General features: G+C 36.9%; 1 protein-coding gene across 12 annotated transcripts in view, besides 2 other annotated features; it reads right to left on the bottom strand.

Moving 5' to 3' along the window:
- Nucleotides 1-20,482, bottom strand: part of RABGAP1L (RAB GTPase activating protein 1 like) — an 835,789-nt gene that overhangs the window by 760,808 nt on the left and 54,499 nt on the right. For 7 of the 12 annotated variants that reach the window (NR_158982.1, NR_158981.1, XM_011510223.3 and 4 more), the window contains 3 exons: nt 15,206-15,376; nt 13,337-13,529; nt 3,146-3,356 (listed from right to left, as the gene is read on the bottom strand). Coding sequence is in view for 10 of the 12 variants with exons in the window: in XM_011510223.3 (XP_011508525.1) it covers nt 3,146-3,356; nt 13,337-13,529; nt 15,206-15,343 (542 nt within the window). In the remaining 2 variants the exon portion in view is untranslated. The remainder of the gene's footprint in view (nt 1-3,145; nt 3,357-13,336; nt 13,530-15,205; nt 15,377-20,482) is intronic. The other 5 variants (XM_047436028.1, XM_005245681.3, XM_047436039.1 and 2 more) reach the window with 1 other exon arrangement.
- Nucleotides 8,457-8,596: a silencer, noted in NCBI's record as "silent region_1564". NCBI's record gives its function as "represses an Ori minimal core promoter by ATAC-STARR-seq in GM12878 lymphoblastoid cells {active_cell/tissue: GM12878}" and the evidence as "EXISTENCE:reporter gene assay evidence [ECO:0000049][PMID:35858748]".
- Nucleotides 13,897-14,016: a silencer, noted in NCBI's record as "silent region_1563". NCBI's record gives its function as "represses an Ori minimal core promoter by ATAC-STARR-seq in GM12878 lymphoblastoid cells {active_cell/tissue: GM12878}" and the evidence as "EXISTENCE:reporter gene assay evidence [ECO:0000049][PMID:35858748]".

Below are 20,482 nucleotides of genomic sequence, written 5' to 3'. Positions count from 1 at the left end.
GGAAAACTGGATAGCCATATGTAGGAAGCTGAAACTGGATCCCTTCCTTACACCTTATACAAAAATCAATTCAAGATGGATTAAAGATTTAAACGTTAGACCTAAAACCATAAAAACCCTAGAAGAAAACCTAGGCATTACCATTCAGGACATAGGCGTGGGCAAGGACTTCATGTCCAAAACACCAAAAGCAATGGCAACAAAAGACAAAATTGACAAATGGGATCTAATTAAACTAAAGAGCTTCTGCACAGCAAAAGAAACTACCATCAGAGTGAACAGGCAACCTACAAAATGGAAGAAAATTTTCACAACCTACTCATCTGACAAAGGGCTAATATCCAGAATCTACAATGAACTCAAACAAATTTACAAGAAAAAAACAAACAATCCCATCAAAAAGTGGGCGAAGGACATGAACAGACACTTCTCAAAAGAAGACATTTATGCAGCCAAAAAACACATGAAAAAATGCTCATCATCACTGGCCATCAGAGAAATGCAAATCAAAACCACTATGAGATACCATCTCACACCAGTCAGAATGGCAATCATTAAAAAGTCAGGAAACAACAGGTGCTGGAGAGGATGTGGAGAAATAGGAACACTTTTACACTGTCGGTGGGACTGTAAACTAGTTCAACCATTGTGGAAGTCAGTGTGGCGATTCCTCAGGGATCTAGAACTAGAAATACCATTTGACCCAGCCATCCCATTACTCGGTATATACCCAAATGACTATAAATCATGCTGCTATAAAGACACATGCACACGTATGTTTATTGCAGCATTATTCACAATAGCAAAGACTTGGAACCAACCCAAATGTCCAACAATGATAGACTGGATTAAGAAAATGTGGCACATATACACCATGGAATACTATGCAGCCATAAAAAATGATGAGTTCATGTCCTTTGTAGGGGCATGGATGAAATTGGAAATCATCATTCTCAGTAAACTATCGCAAGAACAAAAAACCAAACACCGCATATTCTCACTCATAGGTGGGAAGTGAACAATGAGATCACATGGACACAGGAAGGGGAATATCACACTCTGGGGACTGTTGTGGGGTGGGGGGAGGGGGGAGGGATAGCATTGGGATATATACCTAATGCTAGATGACGAGTTAGTGGGTGCAGTGCACCAGCATGGCACATGTATACATATGTAACTAACCTGCACAATGTGCACATGTACCCTAAAACTTAAAGTATAATAAAAAAAAAAATTATCTTCATATTCTTGCACATCTTACACACATACACACAAATCTGCATCTTCTTTTGATGAATGAAGAGAGAGAAGGGAGGAGGGAGACAGAAGGACAGAAAGAGAGAGAGAAGGGAGTCCTCTTGAATAAGAGTAGTATCCTTATAAAAGAAACCCCAGAGAGCTCTTACACTCTCTTCCACCATGTAAGAACACATGAACCAGGAAGCAGGCCCTCACCAGACACCAAATATGCTGGAGCTTTGATCTAGGAACTCCCAACCACGAGAACTGTGAAAAATAATTATCTGTTGTATGTAAACCACCAGTCTATGGCAGTTTGTTACAGCAGCCCAAACAGGCTAAGAAGAAAAGAAGGAAGGACGAAGAGGGGAAGAACAAGTTGGAGCAGTAGGTCAACAGTGCCTAACCATGATAAGGATTTCAAATATAACCACAAGTGTGACTGAGGGAAAGGCCGAATGTAGGAGAATAACATTATCTGACTTATTTTTTTTTTTTTTTGAGATGGCGTCTTGCTCTGTCGCCCAGGCTGGAGCGCAGTGGCACGATCTCTTGGGTTCACACCATTCTCCTGCCTCAACCTCCCGAGTAGCTGGGACTACAGGCGCCCGCCACCATGCCCAGCTAATTTTTTGTATTTTTAGTAGAGACGGGGTTTCACCGTGTTAGCCAGGATGGTCTCGATCTCCTGACCTCGTGATCCACCCACCTCGGCCTTCCAAAGTGCTGGGATTACAGGCTTGAGCCACCGCGCCCGGCCACTTTTTTTTTTTTTTAATTGAGATGGGGGTCTCTGTCACCCAGACTGGAGTGCAGTGGCATGATCTCGGCTCACCGCAACCTCCATCTCCCGAGTTTGAGCGATTCTCCTGCCTCAGCCTCCCAAGCAGCTGGGATTACAGGCGTGTGCCACCACACGTGGCAAATTTTTGTATTATTTTGCCCAGGCTGGTTTCGAACTCCTGACCTCAAGTGATTCACCCACCTCAGCCTCCCAAAGTGCTGGGATTGCAGGTGTGAGCCACCACACCTGGCCCTGACTTACATTTAAAGAAACTAAAGGTTCAGCTGAGGTAATGTATTATTCCTAATTAAGCATAAGAGGAAAAAGCCATTTTGCTTCTTTCCAGTCTAATGTAAATAACTTAAAATCTATGGCTCACTCCAGTTTCTTTCAACCACTATTACTTCAGAAGCTGAAGGCAGATTTTTATGCTCATTCAGGATAGAGAAATAAATATTACAAGTATTTTTACCGTTTTATTTCTATTTATAATATTCTAAGCGTAATTGTTGATATGGGTTTGGATCTGCGGCTCCGTCTAAATCTCATGTCAAATTGTAATCTCCAATGTTGGAGGTGGGGCTGGTGAAAGGTGATTGGATCATGGGAACAATTTCTTATGAATGGTTTAGCACCATCCCCTCGGTGCTGTTCTCATGATAGCTGTTCTCATGAAACCTGGTTGTTTAAAAGCGTGTGGCACCTCCCCCTTCTCGCTCTTGCTCCTGCTCCTGCCACGTAAGACAATTCTGCTTCCCCTTGCCTTCTGCCATGATTTTAAGTTTCCTGAGGCCTCCCCTCCTGAGGCCTCCCTCCCAGAAGCTGAGCAGATGGCCAGCATCATGTTTCCTATACACCCTGCAGAACCAAGAGCCAGTTAAACCTCTTCTCTTTATCAATTATCCAATCTCAGATATTTCTTTATTGCAGTGCAAGAATAGACTAATACAATTGTTCAAATGCCCCTTTCAAACAATGAACACAGTCTAAGCCTAAACATGTTTACTCTGCATGTCTACAGTGTGAGTTCACAGTAAGTTCTACACCTGATGATGCTATAACATCTTCACCACCACCCAAAAGACTTAATATGTGTCTAAAGAAAAACAAATTAGAGCTTACCTCACAGAACCTTCTGGAACATTTGGTACATACAGGGTAACAGGAAAGGGGTATTGACTGGAAGATTTCATGGTTGCCATTGCCCGTAAAGCCTCTACTTCATTACGTGGGGAAGAAACCTTCATACATCCTAAGTAGGTCAGTTTATTAAATAAAACACTATCTTCTTCAGGTAGTCCACCTGGAGAAGATGGTCTGGGTGTAGAAATTTCTGAAGAAACAAAAAAAGAAACACTCAAAAGTCATTGCAAAACTCCACCATCATTATAATCTTGCCAATGCCCAAAAAGAAATGAAATATTTCAAACAAAATCTAGGTCTCTCTGTATTTTCACTCCTTTTATATTTTAAAATTTTAGGATTTAAAATCTAGGATTCTAGGATTTTATAATCCTAAATCTTATGTCAGAGTTCCAGAGCCAGCCATTTCATACTTTTGAATCTCTCAAAATATTATCTTACTTAGCTGTAAGTTCTTCAGATGAGAGAAAAAATTTAAGCTTTATATTAAAAAAAACTCAAAAAGATAGAGTACAAGTATGTAAAAGAACAACAGAACCTCTGGTCTCCAAACTGACTATGCCAAAGCAAAAGATAAGCTTGGGAACCGAGTCACACCATACTGCCTTCTTTTTGTTCCCAGATAGCTGTAAATTCACAACCCTGTGTCATAGCCTTATCCATATGCCAGGTTCCCACAACGATAGAAGGGCACATATCTCCCCAGATGGCTTCCCTCACAGATTACTCACAAGGAATTTCCGTGTGAGCCCCTAAATCATTTAAGATATGTATCCTCCCTATAAACTAGCTCTAAAGCTGAGTTCTGTCAAATCTCATCCTCACAATGTCAATTATCAGCTTATCTTCACAGACACAGGACAAGACCAGAAATCGTCCCTTCACCTACACTAAGACGAATGCATAATTGACTTCCTTTTTTTTTATTCTTTTTTTTACTATACTTTAAGTTTTAGGGTACAAGTGCACAACGTGCAGGTTTGTTACATACGTATATATGTGCCATGTTGGTGTGCTGCATCCATTAACTCATCATTTAACATTAGGTATATCTCCTAATGCTATCCCTCCCCCCTCCCCCCACCTCACAACATGCCCCGGTGTGTGATGTTTCCCTTCCTGTGTCCATGTGTTCTCATAGTTCAATTCCCACCTATGAGTGAGAACATGCGGTGTTTGGTTTTTTGTCCTTGCGATAGTTTGCTGAGAATGATGGTTTCCAGCTTCATCCATGTCCCTACAAAGGACATGAACTCATCATTTTTATGGCTGCATAGTATTCCATGGTGTATATGTGCCACATTTTCTTAATCCAGTCTATCATTGTTGGACATTTGGGTTGGTTCCACAATGAGATACCATCTCACACCAGTTAGAATGGTGATCATTAAAAAGTCAGGAAACAGCAGGTGCTGGAGAGGATGTGGAGAAATAGGAACACTTTTACACTGTTGGCGGGACTGTAAACTAGTTCAACCATTGTGGAAGTCAGTGTGGCGATTCCTCAGGGATCTAGAACTAGAAATACCATTTGACCCAGCCATCCCATTACTGGGTATATACCCAAAGTATTATAAATCATGCTGCTATAAAGACACATGCACATGTATGTTTATAGCGGCACTATTCACAATAGCAAAGACTTGGAACCAACCCAAATGACTTTTTCCTCTACTCCCTCTTTTCACATGTAAAGTGTAGATTTATTGAGGCTAGTCAGAGCCTCACAAGAATGCAACCATTTGCCTCACTGCCTACCTTTCCCTCTTTTTTAACCTGTGCTTGCCCTTTCCCCGTTTAAACACCGAAATTCCCAAAACCCCTCTAGAAAAGCACAGGTCACAACTGTTCCTGTGGCTTGTTTTTCCCAGGCACATACTAAACCCTTGACTAAGTAAACCTCTATGGATTGAGACCTGCCACTTTTTGGTTAACAAGTGATATAGAACAATAAGGAGGAAAAACTATACTAAAGATACTGTGAATTAGCCCCAAAATAATGAGGATTAAACAAAAGTAAATCAGCTAAAAGTTTATCTTGACTGTAAAGATCCTTCACTGCACCACATTTATTAAGCAGCCTAACTTCCTAAGCAAAAACAAGCAATGTTAAAATGTTACATCTCATACCAACAACAAGTGTCAAGCTCCTTATTTCCCTCATTCCTGGCTTGCTGGCTTCTATGAACTATAATGAACTATATAAGTATTCCAATGGAATTTTTTTCCTCAAAATAATTATTTTTGATGAATGAATCTACGATTGCTTCGCCCAATTCCATCCCCATCATAATGAATTTCTTTAAAAAAAAAAAACTGTTCATTTTATTCTAAGAACAGCAGGCAGCAAAGGTCCAATTGTGGTTAGAGAGCATCCATCTCCGTGTATCAGGTAGTATAACATTCTCCCTTCATGCCCCTACCTAAAATCCACATTCTGCTTGGCTTCCCCGCTGTTACCTACATTCATGCCGCACAAAATTAAGCATACATGTATCACTTGAACTAGGTCCTTGCAACATTTTCAGACTGCCATTACCAGGATTCCTCTTGTAGGATAGGATTTTAATAAATAATTCACAAAAGCCATTTCAAATTCCCCAACTGCAGCTCCTAAATATTATACTAAAATATGCAACTTCACCACTGACTTTTTTGTTAAGGAACTAAAGCCATTCAAAATGAACTACTTCATCTACCATGTTCTTCAACCACTGAAACATGTTTTTCTCCCTTTTTCAGTCAGTTCAATATAATGTATTTCAAAAGGGATAAATAAAAAACTACAAATACATTTTAATATGTTTAAATTACTTTGTATTATATTATTATATACATGTATGTTTTTACATACTTTTCTTAATGTAACAAGCACTTATGCAGCAACAATAAGACTGATGAGCCTGGGTGATTACGTAGTTCAAGTGGTCTAACATGTGTAACTAGAGTCTTAAAAACAGAAAAAATATAAGATGAATGTGAACCAGTGAGGAACAACAAAAAATAATATAAATAAAAAGAGAAAAGAGGAGGCCAAAAAGAAGTTGTTTGAAGAGGTATTTTATAAACCTGTGTAACCCAAGATTCATGACTCTACAGATTCCAAATATAAAACAGTACAGAAACTGATCCAAAAATAAGAAATGATAAAATAGGCAAAGAAGGCCTATACGACTATTATAAATATGATCAAGGATTTAAAGATAAACATCTAACAAAATAAGAAGAAAAATGAAAGACATAAAAAAGAACCAAAAGAAATTCTAGAGCTGAAAAAATACAAGATCTGCAGTAAAATATTCCCCAGGTGAATATAACAGCAGTTTCTAAATTGCAGAAGAGGAATGTTAAAGGAAGTTCCTTGGGCTACAGGAAAATGATAGAAAACTGAAGAGCACGAGAAGTTAAATATGAGAAAAAGACCTATTCCTTGCTCTTTAATTTCTTCAAAATATAACAGACTAAAGCAAAAAAAAAAAAAACCACAGTATTTTGTAGAACTTCTAACATATGTATTAGCAAAATGAATGAGAGCAGAAGCATAAAATCTAGAAGGTAACAAAAGATCCTTACAATGTACATAAAGTGTTATGACATTATTAGAATGTAAATGAGTTAAAGACTTGAGTTATAAACTCCAGAGCAAATACTAAAATAATAAGACAAAATTATATAGCTAATGTGCCAATAATGGAGATAAAATAGAACATTAAAAATAATCTAAAGGCAGGAAAGGAGGGGAAAAACAAGAACAGAAGAGACAGAGAAAAACAGCAAGAGAGTAAGTACACTTAGATCCAAATATATTTAAAATTACATCAAAGGTAAATGGTCAGCTGGGCGCAGTGACTCATGCCTGTAATCCCAGCACTTTGGTAGGCCCAGGCAGGCAGATCATGAGGTCAAGAGATGGAGACCATCCTGGCCAACAGGGTGAAACCCCATCTCTACTAAAAAAAAAAAAAAATTAGCTGGGCATGGTGGCATGCACCTGTAGTCCCAGCTACTCAGGAGGCTGAGGCAGGAGAATTGCTTGAACTCAGGAGGTGGAGGTTGCAGTGAGCTGAGATCGTGCCATTGCACTCCAGCCTAGGCAACAAGAGTGAAACTCCATCTCAAAAAAAAAAAAAAAAAAGTAAATGGTCAGCTTTTTCTGTAAAGGGTCATATGATAAATATTTTAGGTTTGGTGGGCCAAGAGACAAAATCTACAATATTATGCAAGTATTTATACAAGTGAGAAAAAAACCTTCCACAGATTTTTTGACAAAACTTAAAACTTAATTATGGATACTAAAATTTGAATTTCATATAAGCTTCATGTGTCACAATATTATTCTCCTTTTGATATGTTAGAGCCATTTAAAAATGTAAAAACCATTTTACTTTGCAAGCCACACCATAAACAAGTAGGAAGTGGAATTTGGCTCACAGATAGTAGTTTACTTATCCTAGTCTAAACCCAACTAAAAGACTGAGATTGTTAAACTGGATTTTAAAAAGGTATCTACAAGAAACACTCTTTAAAGATAAAAATAGATGAAAATTTTTTTTAAAAAAAAAGGAAAAAGAAAAATATATACCATGCAAATACTAATCATAAGAAACCAAAAGTGGCTATATTAATATAAGAAAAACTAGACTTCAGGACAAGGAATTTTAACAAAAAGAAAACGGATATTTCACAAGGCTAAAATGGTCAATTCATTAAGAAAACACAAAAATTCTAAGTGACTATGCCCTTAATAGCAGAACTTCAAAACAGCTGAAGCAAAAACAGACTCAAGATTATTGAACTGGACCAGTGAAATTGAAGTGATAAGCCTGTTACAATTTATCTCTCCTACTGTTATAAGTTATCTCTCCCACAGATTATACCTGAAAACTTTCGACAGAATATAAAAAGCAACGACCGGAGGACTCTTTCTTTCTTTTTTTATTGAGATTGGGTTTCGCTATGTTGCGCAGGCTGGTCTTGAACTCCTGAGCTCAAGTGATCCGCCCACTTTGGCTTCCCAAAGCGCTGGGATTACAGGCGTGAGCCACCACATCCAGCCTCCTTTTAAAAAGTAAATAGGAACAGCCAGAGTGGAGAGGAAAGTGAAAATCTGAACCTCTATTACAGTGGTGAGTTTTCCATTTTTCTCATCATCACCTCCCAGTTTTGACCTAAGGGTGGTCCGAGTTGCAGAATAGCAGTGAGCAACAAAACAAAGAAATCCAATCTTTCCAGCCAAATAACAGAAAAAGAAGTCCCTGCAAACTAGAGAGTATCTGAGAAATCATGACTTGTTTCTGTTTTGTTTTCTCTCCCAGTTCTACCACTAGCCCCGACCACAGAACTACCTGAAATGCTGGTAGTCGCGGTGGTACTGTAAGCATCTACAATCTGGAGGAAAAGAAATGTGTCTCAAAGGCTAAAATACCAAAGCAAAGAGGCCCCTATAACCCAAAAATGGAAAAGAAAAACTCTATTATTTTTCCCTCTCTTTTCTCTCACCACTTTGTCATAAAGTGCTCCAGACATATGATTCTGCAAAACAGCACAAAGCAGCAAAAACTCTAAGAAAGAAACCTGTCTTTCTAACACAGGGGTAGAAGGAAAATGGCCCAAGGAAGCCAGAGAGTGTGGGGAAATCTCAGAGAGGAGAGAGCTGAAGAAGATAATCCCCTAACTCTGCGTGTAAACTAGCAAACTGTGTATGCATGTGGAACAGACTGAAGAAGCACAGCAAAGGTTTTGAGAATTGAAAATACTTTGGAACCAGAAAGCAAGACAGATCTTGCAGTTTGGACACAACCAGGTGGAATGTCTGCTTTAAAAAAAAAAAAAAAAAAAAAGTCAACATTCTTCAGAGGATTTTAACAAGAAATAGTCTCAAAACATAAGATTCGAAAACTCTGGGAACAAGCCAATTACTCAACAAACATAAAAGGGTGATCTATTCTCAAGTGAAAAAATAATCCACAGACCAATCCCAAGATGTCCCAGTTGCTCCATAAATAATCCATAAAATAAACGTGAAAACACCTGTAATGAATAAAAATATCAAAACTATCCACAGAGAAACAAAAAAACTTTAAAAAACAATGTAAATTTAAAAACAGAAAAATACAATATCTAAAATTAAAAATTCATCAGACGATCTCAATAGCAGAATGGAGATTAACAAAGTAAAAAGTCAGTGAGCTTGAACACAGGGAAAACAATGAAAAGAGCCTAAGGAATTGTGAGAACGGTATGGAAATGTCTACCATTTTTGTCTACTGAGTCCCAGAAAAGAAAGAGATTAGTGTAGAAACAAAACAATTACCAAGAAATAATGGGTGAAAACTCCCAAATTTGGTTAAAGATATAAATTTACAGATTCAAGAATCTCAGTGATCCAAAAAAAAAAGATAAACTCAAAGAAAACCACACACAGATAATCAAACTGCTGAAAACAATGAAATAAAAGTACTGAAAGCAAAGAAAAATAACATATTACAAATAGGAGAACAATGATTCAAATCCCTTCAGATTTGTTATCAGAAACAATGGAGACAAGAAGACACTGGAAAAGCATTTTTAAAGTGCTCAAGGAAATATACGTATGGCTGTTGAAAGCAAAATTATTAGACTGGTAGGTTTTTCAATGTATGTATATGTAATACATGTCAATATCAGGAATGAGAGGATATTAATACACATCCTGCAGACATTAAAAGGATAATAAGAGAATATTACTCTATAACAGAGAAACAACTCTATCCCCATACTTAGGTGAAATTAACCAATTACTTGAAAGATGAAAACACCAAAGTACACTCAAGAAGAAATAGATAACCTAAATGGTCTTTTGCACTCAGATTTAAAATTTTTTTTTGAGATGGAGTCTCACTCTGCTGCCTAGGCTGGAGTGCAGTGGTGTAATCTTGGCTCACTGCAACCTCCGCCTCCTGGGTTCAAGCCATTCTCCTGCCCAGATTCTCAGCTGGGATTACAGGCATGAACCACCATGCCCGGCTAATTTTTGTATTTTAGTAGACACCGGGTGTCACCATGTTGGCCAGGCTGGTCTTGAACTCCTGACCTCAAGTAATCCACCCACCTTGGCCTCCCAAAGTGCTGGGATTACAGGTGTGAGCCACCATGCCCAGGCCAGACTTAAATTTTTCTATAATGATATGCAACTATCTTTTCCTTTTGTGATTTGGCTTTTCCTACCTTGACAATCACAAAAATATGCTCCATTGTTTTCTTCTTACAGGCTTATTTCTCACTTTAAATATCTGATTCACTAAAAATAATTTTTATGTACAACTAAGGAACCTAATTTTATTTTATTGCACTCAAAGATGCAACTGTCCCAACACTATTTACTGCATAGTTACCATTTCCCCCAGTGGTATGTGAAGCGAATTCTGTCATATACTGAAATCCTTTATATACATAGGTTTGTTTCTGGTACCCTGTTCTAGTGATTCACTTCTATAACAAGCCAATATCACATTGGTTTAATCACTGTAACTCTGTAGTCTATCTTAATACATAATATTCTTTTTAAAAATTTTCTTAGCTACCTGTGTACCTCTACTTGTCCAGATACATTTCAGAATGTTTATAAAAATAACTGAAAATTTGAAATTCCCACCCAAGTTACAGACTAATTTGGAGATAAGTTACATCTTTTCAAGGTTGACTCCTATCAATCAACATGGCATCTCTCCCCATTCATTCAGGTGTTCATTTCCTTCAATAACATTTTATAATTTTATTAAAATTTTACATAAATTTTTGTTTCTTCCTTGTTACCTATTATTTTTGTTGGTATTATGAATGGCAATTTTATTTTCTACTGTTGGTGCTAACCTTCCTAAAAGTCGTTAAATCTTTTTTTTTTTTTTTTTTTTGAGATGGAGTCTCACTCTGTTGCCCAGGTTGGAGTGCAGTGGCATGATCTCAGTTCATTGCAACCTCCACCTCCTGGGTTCAAGTGACTTTTCTGTCTCAGCCTCCTGAGCAGCTGGAATTTCAAGTGTTCACCACCCTGCCCAGCTAATTTTTTTTTTTTTTTTTTTTTTTTTTTTTAGACAGAGTCTCACTGTCACGCAGGCTGGAGTGCAATGGTGCAGTCTTGGCTCACTGCAACCTCTGCCTCCCAGGTTCAAGCGATTCTCTCGCCTCAGCCTCCTGAGTAGCTGGGACTACAGGCATGTGCTGCCACACCCAGTTAATTTTTGTATTTTTAGTAGAGACGGGGTTTCACTATATTAGCCAGGCTGGTCTGGAACTCCTGATCTCGTGACCTGCCCATCTTGGCCTCCCAAAGTGGTGGGATTACAGGCTTGAGCCACCCCGCCCAGCCATTTTTGTATTTTTAATAGAGACGGGGTTTTGCCATGTTGGCCAGGCTGGTCTCAAACTCCTGACTTCAAGTGATCTGCCCGCCTCACCCTCCCAAATTGCTGGGATTACAGGCATGAGCCACCATGCCTGGCAAAAAGTCTTTAAATCTAATAGCTTATCCATTCACTTTCTTAAATACTTTACCAATCATGAGAATTTTTTCACTTTTTTTCTAATCACACTTCATTTCTTTTTCCTGTCATCTTGCATTGGCTGGATTCTTTAGTACAACGTCAAAGAGCTATGGTGATAGCTATCATGCCCTAACTGCTCCTGTTTCAATATATCTTGATGGTAACGCATTTTAAATTTCAGCATAAAACATAAGACTTTGATAGATATTTGATTAAGCAAGTTTCCTTCTAAGTTTTCCAAGAACTTTACATGTGCATATACATGTAAAATTTTAAATTTTATCCAGTGCTTGTTCTTTATCTACTGATACTTTTTCACTCTTCACCACTTTATGTGGTAAACCACACTGAAAGATTTTTCTAATGCTTAATCATCCTTGCCATGGAAGGCACTGTGATTACATTCCCTACATAAATGCATCACAGCCCTATTGTGTAACAGTTTGGCTATACCTATACTTACCCTGTACCAAGGTTCATTTGGTTCAGAAATGAATCACGAGTTTCCTAAGCCAATTAGGATAATCCCATCCCCTCTGTCAGAGTGACTTATTTACAGGTTTGAATGTAACCCAGGCCTACAGCTATCAGTTCATGTCATTTCCCTCACTACTAGAAAATGGTTTCACTGGTCCAATCAGAGTAAAACTCAGAACTTTTATTTAATCCGTAAAACAGGCCAGGGATGGGTGCAATGGCTTGCACTGGTAAACCCGACACTTTGGGAGGCTGAGGTGGGCAGATCACCTGAAGCCAGGAATTCAAGACCGGCCTGGTCAACATGGCAAAACCCCATCACTACAAAAAAAAAAAAAAAATTAGCTAGGCATGGTGGTACACACCCAGCTACTCAGAAGGCTGAACAGCATCACTGCACTTCAGCCTGGATGACAGAATGAGATCGTGTCACCAAAGAAATTTTAAAAATCAGTAAAAGAATGAAGACTTTCTCTTTGCCACCAGGCACAAACAGGTCACCTTCCCTTACCTACCAGTTTCTGCTGGTAGCTACTTTGTAACCAGCTAAGGAGAAAGGTAACATAGACAAGATCAGAGCTGAGTAGTTACCAAAAAAACACCATCAGAGCCTAGATCAAATTATACCTGTGGTGTTTAAGCCAGCTGAAGTTGGAGCTGGTTTTGGTTTTATTTATTTTTGCACCCAAAAGCATCTTGACTTATAAGCTAGTATTCAAAGTACAAATCCTAATTATTCATAGATGTATTTATTATTTAATACACTGTTGGAATTGATATGTTTTACTTAGAGTTTTTACTAAATATAACTTTAAATAAGTGTAGTGAAACTGAGCAAAAAGGCACATCACATGAAAGACTATCTCCATTACACTATTCTGTGACACCCAAGTATTTACTCATTTGTTCAGTAAGTATCTGTTGAGGACCTACCATGCATGAAGTACTAGGGGTAAAATGAGGACCCAGACATAGTCTTTGTTCCCAAAGAACATTAAGACCTGATTTTTATAGGCAGAGATATAGGCAGAAACATAACACCGAAGTGGAAACTCTCAACAAGAACTGAAAGCTTGAGAAGAGCTAACAATTTTTTCTGATTTTCATCTTAAAATTTTCACTATTACTTTATCCCATTTCTTTAATAGTTTCTAAGAATTCAATACAGTACCTGTGTTAGACGGATCCAAAATTAACTGAAGAGATGGCTTATTTGTTTGGCTGGCTGGAATATCTCCAAACGAATGGTCTGAAATCTCACTGGAACTTTGACAATCAACAAGAAGACTGCTTGGCCTTTTCTCGGAATCTCTCAAAATCTCTTCCATGGCTTTTTCCAATTGTTCATCACCATTAGAAACTATCTACAGACACAGCAAGACAATTCTGTTTCAATTCTACCATAGTTCTGAAGCTAAATTTTATGAAAGTATTTCATTTCTAGAAGAAATTAAAACAATCTAAATATTTAAATATAGTTACTAAAATACTAAGAAGTTGTTTCACATATATAATACATTAAAATCCTGGTTATAAAACTAAATTAGAGGAAGATTATTAGTTTCACAAAAGGATTCTTTATAAAACACTTAAGACAGTTTCCAACTACATTTTATATAAGATCCTATTTACAGAGATGTATTTATCTTTTTTTCCCCTTTCTTTTTAAAGACAGAGTCTCACTCTGTCACCCAGGCTGGAATGCAGCGGTGCAATCTCAGCTTATTGCAAACTTCGCCTCCTGGGTTCAAGCGATTCTCATGCCTCAGCCTCTCAAGTAGATGGGACTACAGGCGTGCACGACCACACCCAGCTAATTTTTGTATTTTTTGTAGAGACGGGATTTCCCCACATTGGCCAGGCTGGTCTTGAGCTCCTTACCTCAAGCAATCTGCCCACCTTGGCCTCCCAAAGTGCTGGGAGTACAGGCTATGAGCCACCACGCCTGGCCCTTCTTTTTCTTTTTCTTTTTTAGGAACACACCCTAAAAATCAGATAACCTTAAATTTACATGTCTAAAGGAAAAAATAGGTAAATTTAAATCGGGTCTATTATGAATATCATTTAAAAGGTTATATTTCTTGTTAGCACAGCATAACCATATTTCTGATTTCTTTACAAATTGTTGGCTAGCTCCCAAGATGAATATTGCTAATTTCCTTACACTTAAGTTGACTCATAGTTTTCTCAAAGGCAGGTGAAACACAAAGCCTAAGCAAATAAGTGATGTCTTAAACACAATAATGCTAAAATACAGGTATCTAAAAATAAAGCCACTGATTATTTAAATAAAATTATAAAACAATATATTCTCAACATAAACATTTAGTAATCTCATTTTCAGAATATATTTTATTAGACTGATATATTAATACACTTTTGATGCCATAGTTAATACTAAATAAAAGTCATAAGTAATATATAGCACTTTTAACTACTTTTCCTATTCCTGTTTCTAGAAGACAGTTATACCATTTTCAAGCCTATATAACTGAGTTTACTTGCTTCCTTTTCTTTGACTTAGAAAGTGCAACACAGAAGTGAAAAAGGGACCATATCTAAATAAAAACTCAAATGCTAAAAATATAAGATATGCTTTAAAAACATTTAGACAAGTCGACTGTTAAATCACACAACGGAACGTTACCAGCTGATTTAAAACATAAAAATCATAAAGAAAAAAGTCTCTCAAGTGAAAGCAAAACATTTAATTAACTTCTAAAACCCAGCAGTAAGAGAAACAAAAACATCCAGATAAAGTAATGTAAAATTTAACCATTATGTCTAATTCACCAAAAAATCCTTTCTCTTCTTTTTCTTCTTTTATTCTTCCCCCTAAAATTCCAAATCAAAAGGTAAACAACCAAAAGCAAGAACTTTTTAAAATACACAAACCAAATAATTAGGGTCTGGATAAATCAAACATTGATTTTATTTTGAAAGTCAGCACTTGAGAAAAACCTTTGCATTTTACACATCTCCTAAGTTTCAAATAGTTTTTAATTAAAAATTATACCATATGTAGAAAAGAAAAAAATACCTTCAGTTGAGGTTTTTCTTCATGTTTTGTAGAATTATCATCTGCATACTGAGGAACCAAAACAAATTCTTCACTGTTCATTGTAGCCACAGAATCAGATGATCCACTAACCTTCTGTAATGAAGCTCTGACCTCCATTTCAGTTCTGCAAACTTCTCTTCCCACAACCACCTGGAAAAACAAAAGGGATTAAAAAAAAAAACCTACTGATTAAAAACATGAACTAATTAAAAACATGAACTAATAAAGCTTTAAAAATGGTTTATGTGAAGAAGAATCCTGCTGGCTAGATAATTATCTCAAAGTTAGGGAGGCTACCTTCTTGGACTGAGCCACTTAATGGAAATGTACTCTCTCTTCATCCTAAGTTTCCAGACTAATAGAGCCATATTGTTACCTAAAAATTTACACAAACCAGTCCATATCTCAACCAGATTTATCACTGTTTACCTGACACACTCACTCTCATTTCTCTTAGAAATACTGTTTTCTTTTTAATAGAGGAAATAATTAAATGATACTAGAAATACCTACAAATGCACACACAGACACAAAACCATATTCACTGACACTGCTATATTAATTAAATCTAAATGCTTCAAAAAAAAACTTATCTCCTCAAGACCGAATATTGTACCTGCAAATATTTTTTCTGAGTAACTAAAGTTGACTAATACAGAATTCAACATCCTAAGACATATAGCTTCTCTTTCCTGACACATTATCACTTATTAACACCAAAAAGAAAAAGAAAAAAGCTTCTATATTGCCTTCACGTAGCAAATAATGTTTCAGTAATCAAACACAGTGTAATTCTGTTTTCTGGATAGATCTCTACAGCATAGAAACAACACTCACTATCATATCCAGAAGTTCATGTACTCACACAACTAAGTTTAACTGCAGACATACACTATATAACAGACACAACTCAGCCCTGAGGTTACCTAAGTGAATAAGGAAAACAAGTAGCCTGCACTTCTGGGGCTTACATACTAGTAAGAAAACAAATAAAAAGGGAGCAAATGGTGATTCCAAGTCACTCTAAAGGCTATGCAAACAATAAACACGTTAATGTGACAAACAGTAGCTATGGGAAGTATACGGACAAATTAAGGTGGTAGGAAAAAGCTCTCTGAGAGGAAAATATCTGAGCCTAAACCTGAAAGACAAAAAAGAACCCTACTATTACACAATCTGCTCAGTGACCAAATGAGTAATGTGATAGAGGGGCAGGACAAGCAGGCTAGGGCTAAAGAACACGGGACCTTGTAAGCCATAGTAAGTCTACTGATCCATGCCTAAAATCCCCCCAGAAATGTTATTTTTCTTTCTAATTAGGTTACCTTTTCATTATAGCCTATAAGTATAGCTGCAATATTCCATTTTGCCATTAGGTGACACTAACACCATTACTCTTGGCAATAAAAAGAATGAGTCTAGCTTCAAGTTACATGTGTATCTTTTAAAAAGTAATTACTTTCCAACTTTATAAAAAATCAAAAATTTCAAGAATATCAAAATAAAGAATAACCATACTCCTGGACCAGTGTAATTAGCTAGCCATCATTTATTTCTGTTATGCATGTTAACACCCTTCCTTTTTAAAACCCAAGCGACATTCATCTGTCCTCTGAAGGTTTTTTTCTCACTTTGTATATTTTGTTTCTAAAAATGCAGAATGTGTTACAAGCCAGGTCTTTACTCTTCCAGACTGCACGATGAATCCTTAACTGCCAACACACCACATATTCCAGATGTCTTTCTGTGGTCAATCCTTCAAGTCCTTCTCAGGTTGCTGCTCCTCTACCTGATTTCTAAATGTTAGAAATTCCCTGAGTTCAGATCCTGACCTTTTCCCTTGTCACACACTCTAAGTAATGTCTGTCATTGTCATGGACGAAAATACCATCTGCAGGCTAACAGTCTTCCAAATTTCTATCCCAACTCAAATACCTTCTCTAAATTCCTGCCCTGAAATTCACCTCTCTACTTGATATTTCCATGTGGAAGTCTTATCGTATCTTAAATGAAACATGACCAAAATGGAATTCCTAATGTCTCCTCCAAACTTGTTTCCAGTCCCGATTTGCCATTTCAGTAAATAACACCACTATCTTCTACAAAGTTACTTGAACACGAAACCTGGATATCATCCTTGATTCACCTCCACTTCTTTACTCCTCACATCAGCAAGTCATGTCAGACCCACTTCCAAAATAAGACTCACATCTATCCATTTTTCTGTCTACTACTACTACCACTCTAGTCCAAACAATGCTCTTATCTACTGTAAAAGCCTCCTAACCCATCTTCTATTTCCAGTCTTCTTCCCTCAATCTACGTCATTGTTCACAAAGCTGCCAATTTATTTAATTTTTTTTCGGAAAATAAATTAGATTACATGAAAACTCCAGACCAAAACCTTTTCACTAAAATTTAAATAAAATTCAAACTGCTTCCCAAGACTTACAAGGCCCAATACACCCTTGCCCCCATCACTTTCTCATTATAATTCCTTAATCACACAAGTTCCAAAACAAGCAAAAACCAAGAAAAATCATTGCCAGCATATCTGGCTTGAAAGAAAGATTAAAAGTAGTTCTTCAGACAGAAAGAAAATTATATAGGTCAAAAATGTGGATCTATGTGATAAAAGGAAGAATAAATGTATTGGATGATTATACCACATGGACAAAAAAAAAAAACATGACAGCAATGGCAAAAAAAAAAAGGGGAGGGGGAGAGAGGGAGGAATTGGAAATATCCTGTTACAAGGTAATGGCACTACTTGTACATGGGTTACATGCAGTATAAAATTATTTAAAAAATTACTTTTTTACTCCTTTATTTTTAATTTTTGTGGGTACATGTGTATATATTAATGTGTTATGTGAGATACTTTTACATAGGCATGAAATGCATAATAATCACATCAGGGCAAATGGAGTATCCATCACCTCAAGCATTTATCCTTTGTGTTAGAAGCAATTCAATTATTCTCTTAGTTATTTTTAAATGTCCAATTAAATTGACTACATTCACCCTGCTGTGCTAGCAGATACTAGGTTTTATTCATTCTTTCTAATTATTTTTTCATACCTATTAACCATCCCCATGTCCCTTACCCATCCCACCTTCCCACTACCCTTTTCAGCTTCTGGTAATCATTGTTCTAATTCTCTATCTACATGAGTTCAATTATTCCAATTTTTAGCAATCAGAAATAAGTGAGAATGTGTGAACTTTGTCTTTCTGTGCCTGTTCACTTAACCTAATGACATCTGCTTTCATCCATGTTGCTGCAAAATGACAGGATCTCCTTCTTCTTTATGGCTGAATAGTACTCCACTGTATATGTATACATTTTCTTTATCTGTTGATGGACACTTAACGTTGCTTCCAAATCTTGGCTGCTGTGAGTAGTGCTGCAATAAACAAGGGAGTGCAGATATCTCTTCTTCGGAGTATATACCTAGCAGTGGGATTGGTGAATCATGTGAAACCTCAATTTTTAGATTTCTAAGGAACATATAAACTGTTCTTCATAGTGCTTGTACTAATGCATACTCCCACCAACAGTGTACCAGGGTTACCTTTTCTCCACATCCTCACTAGCATTTGTTAATGCTTGACTTTTGAATAAAAGCCAATTTACCTGGGGTGAGATAATATCTCATTGTAGTTTTGATTTGCATTTCTCTGATGATCAGTGTTGCTAAGCACCTTTTCATATGCCTTTTTGCCATTTGTATATCTTCTTTTGAGAAATGTCTATTCAAATCTATTGTCCATTTTTAAATTAGATTTTATTTTATTATTATTATTTTTTTTTTTTGAGATGGAGTTTCGCTCTTGTCGCCCAGGCTGGAATATAATGGCGCAACATTGGCTCACTGCAACCTCCACCTCCCTGGTTCAAGCAATTCTCCTGCCTCAGCCTCCCAAGTAGCTGGGATTACAGGTGTGCACCACCACACCCAGCTAATTTTTGTATTATTGGTAGAGACAGGGTTTCACTATGTTGGCCAGGCTGGGCTCGAACTCCTGACCCCAGGTGATCTACTCGCCCTGGCCTCCCAAAGTGCTGGGATTACAGGCGTGAGCCACTGCACCCAATCTAAATTAGATTTTTAATTAGATTAGACTTTTTCCTATAGAGTTGTTTGCGCTCCTTATATATTCTGGTTATTAATCCCTTGTCAGATAGGTAGTTTGAAAATATTTTCTCCCATTCTGTGGGTTGTCTCTTCACTTTGTTGATTGTTTTCTTTGTTGTGCAGATACCTTTTTAACTTGATGTGATACCATTTGTCCATTTTTGCTTTTTTTGCCCATGCTTTTAGGGTATCACTCAATAAATCTTTGCCCAGTCCAACGTCCTGGAGAGTTTCCCAATAATTTCTCTTAGTAGCTTCATAGTTTGAGGTCTTATATTTGAGTCTTCAATGTATTTTAATTTTGTTTTTGTACATGATGAGATACAGGGGTCCAGTTTCATCCTTCTGTATATGGATATCCATTCTTCCCAGCACCATTTATTGAACAGACTGTCCTTTCCCCAGTGTTATGTTCTTAGCAGCTTAGTCAAAACTGAGTTCACCATAGATGTACAGATTTATCTCTGGGTTCCCTATTATGTTCCACTGGTCTATGTGTTTCTTGCTAGTACTGGTTTTTGCTGTTTTGGTTACTATAGCTATGGAGCATAATTTAAAAGCAAATAATGTGATTGCTGCAGCTTTGTTCTTTTTGCTTAGGATAGTTTTGGCTATTCTGGGTCTTTTGTAGTTTCATATAAATTTTAGGACTTTTTTTTCTATTTCTGTGAAGAATGTCATTGTTATTTTGATATGGATTACATTTAATCTATAGATTGCTTTGGGTAAGTATGGACATTTTAACAATATTGGTTCCTCCAACCCATGAACATGGAATATCTTTCCAATGTTGTGTCTTCTCTGATTTCTTACATCAATGTTTTATGGTTTTCATTGTGGAGATCTTTCACTTCTTTGGTTTATTCCTAGGTATTTTATCTTATTTGTAGCTATTGTAAATGGGATTACTTTCTTGGTTTCAATTTCATATTTTTCACTGTTGGCATATAGAAATGCTACTGATTTTTATATGTTGATTTTTTATCCTGCAACTTTAATAAATCTGTTTATCAGTTCTAACAGTTTTTTGGTGGAGTCTTTAGGTTTTTCCAAATATAAGACCATATCATCTGCAAACAAGGATAATCTGACATTTTCCATTCCAATTTGTATGCCC

The sequence above is a fragment of the Homo sapiens genome, chromosome 1 (assembly GCF_000001405.40).
Source record: "Homo sapiens chromosome 1, GRCh38.p14 Primary Assembly".
Taxonomy (NCBI): Eukaryota; Metazoa; Chordata; class Mammalia; order Primates; family Hominidae; genus Homo; species Homo sapiens.
This window is presented reverse-complemented; position numbering and strand designations above follow the sequence as displayed.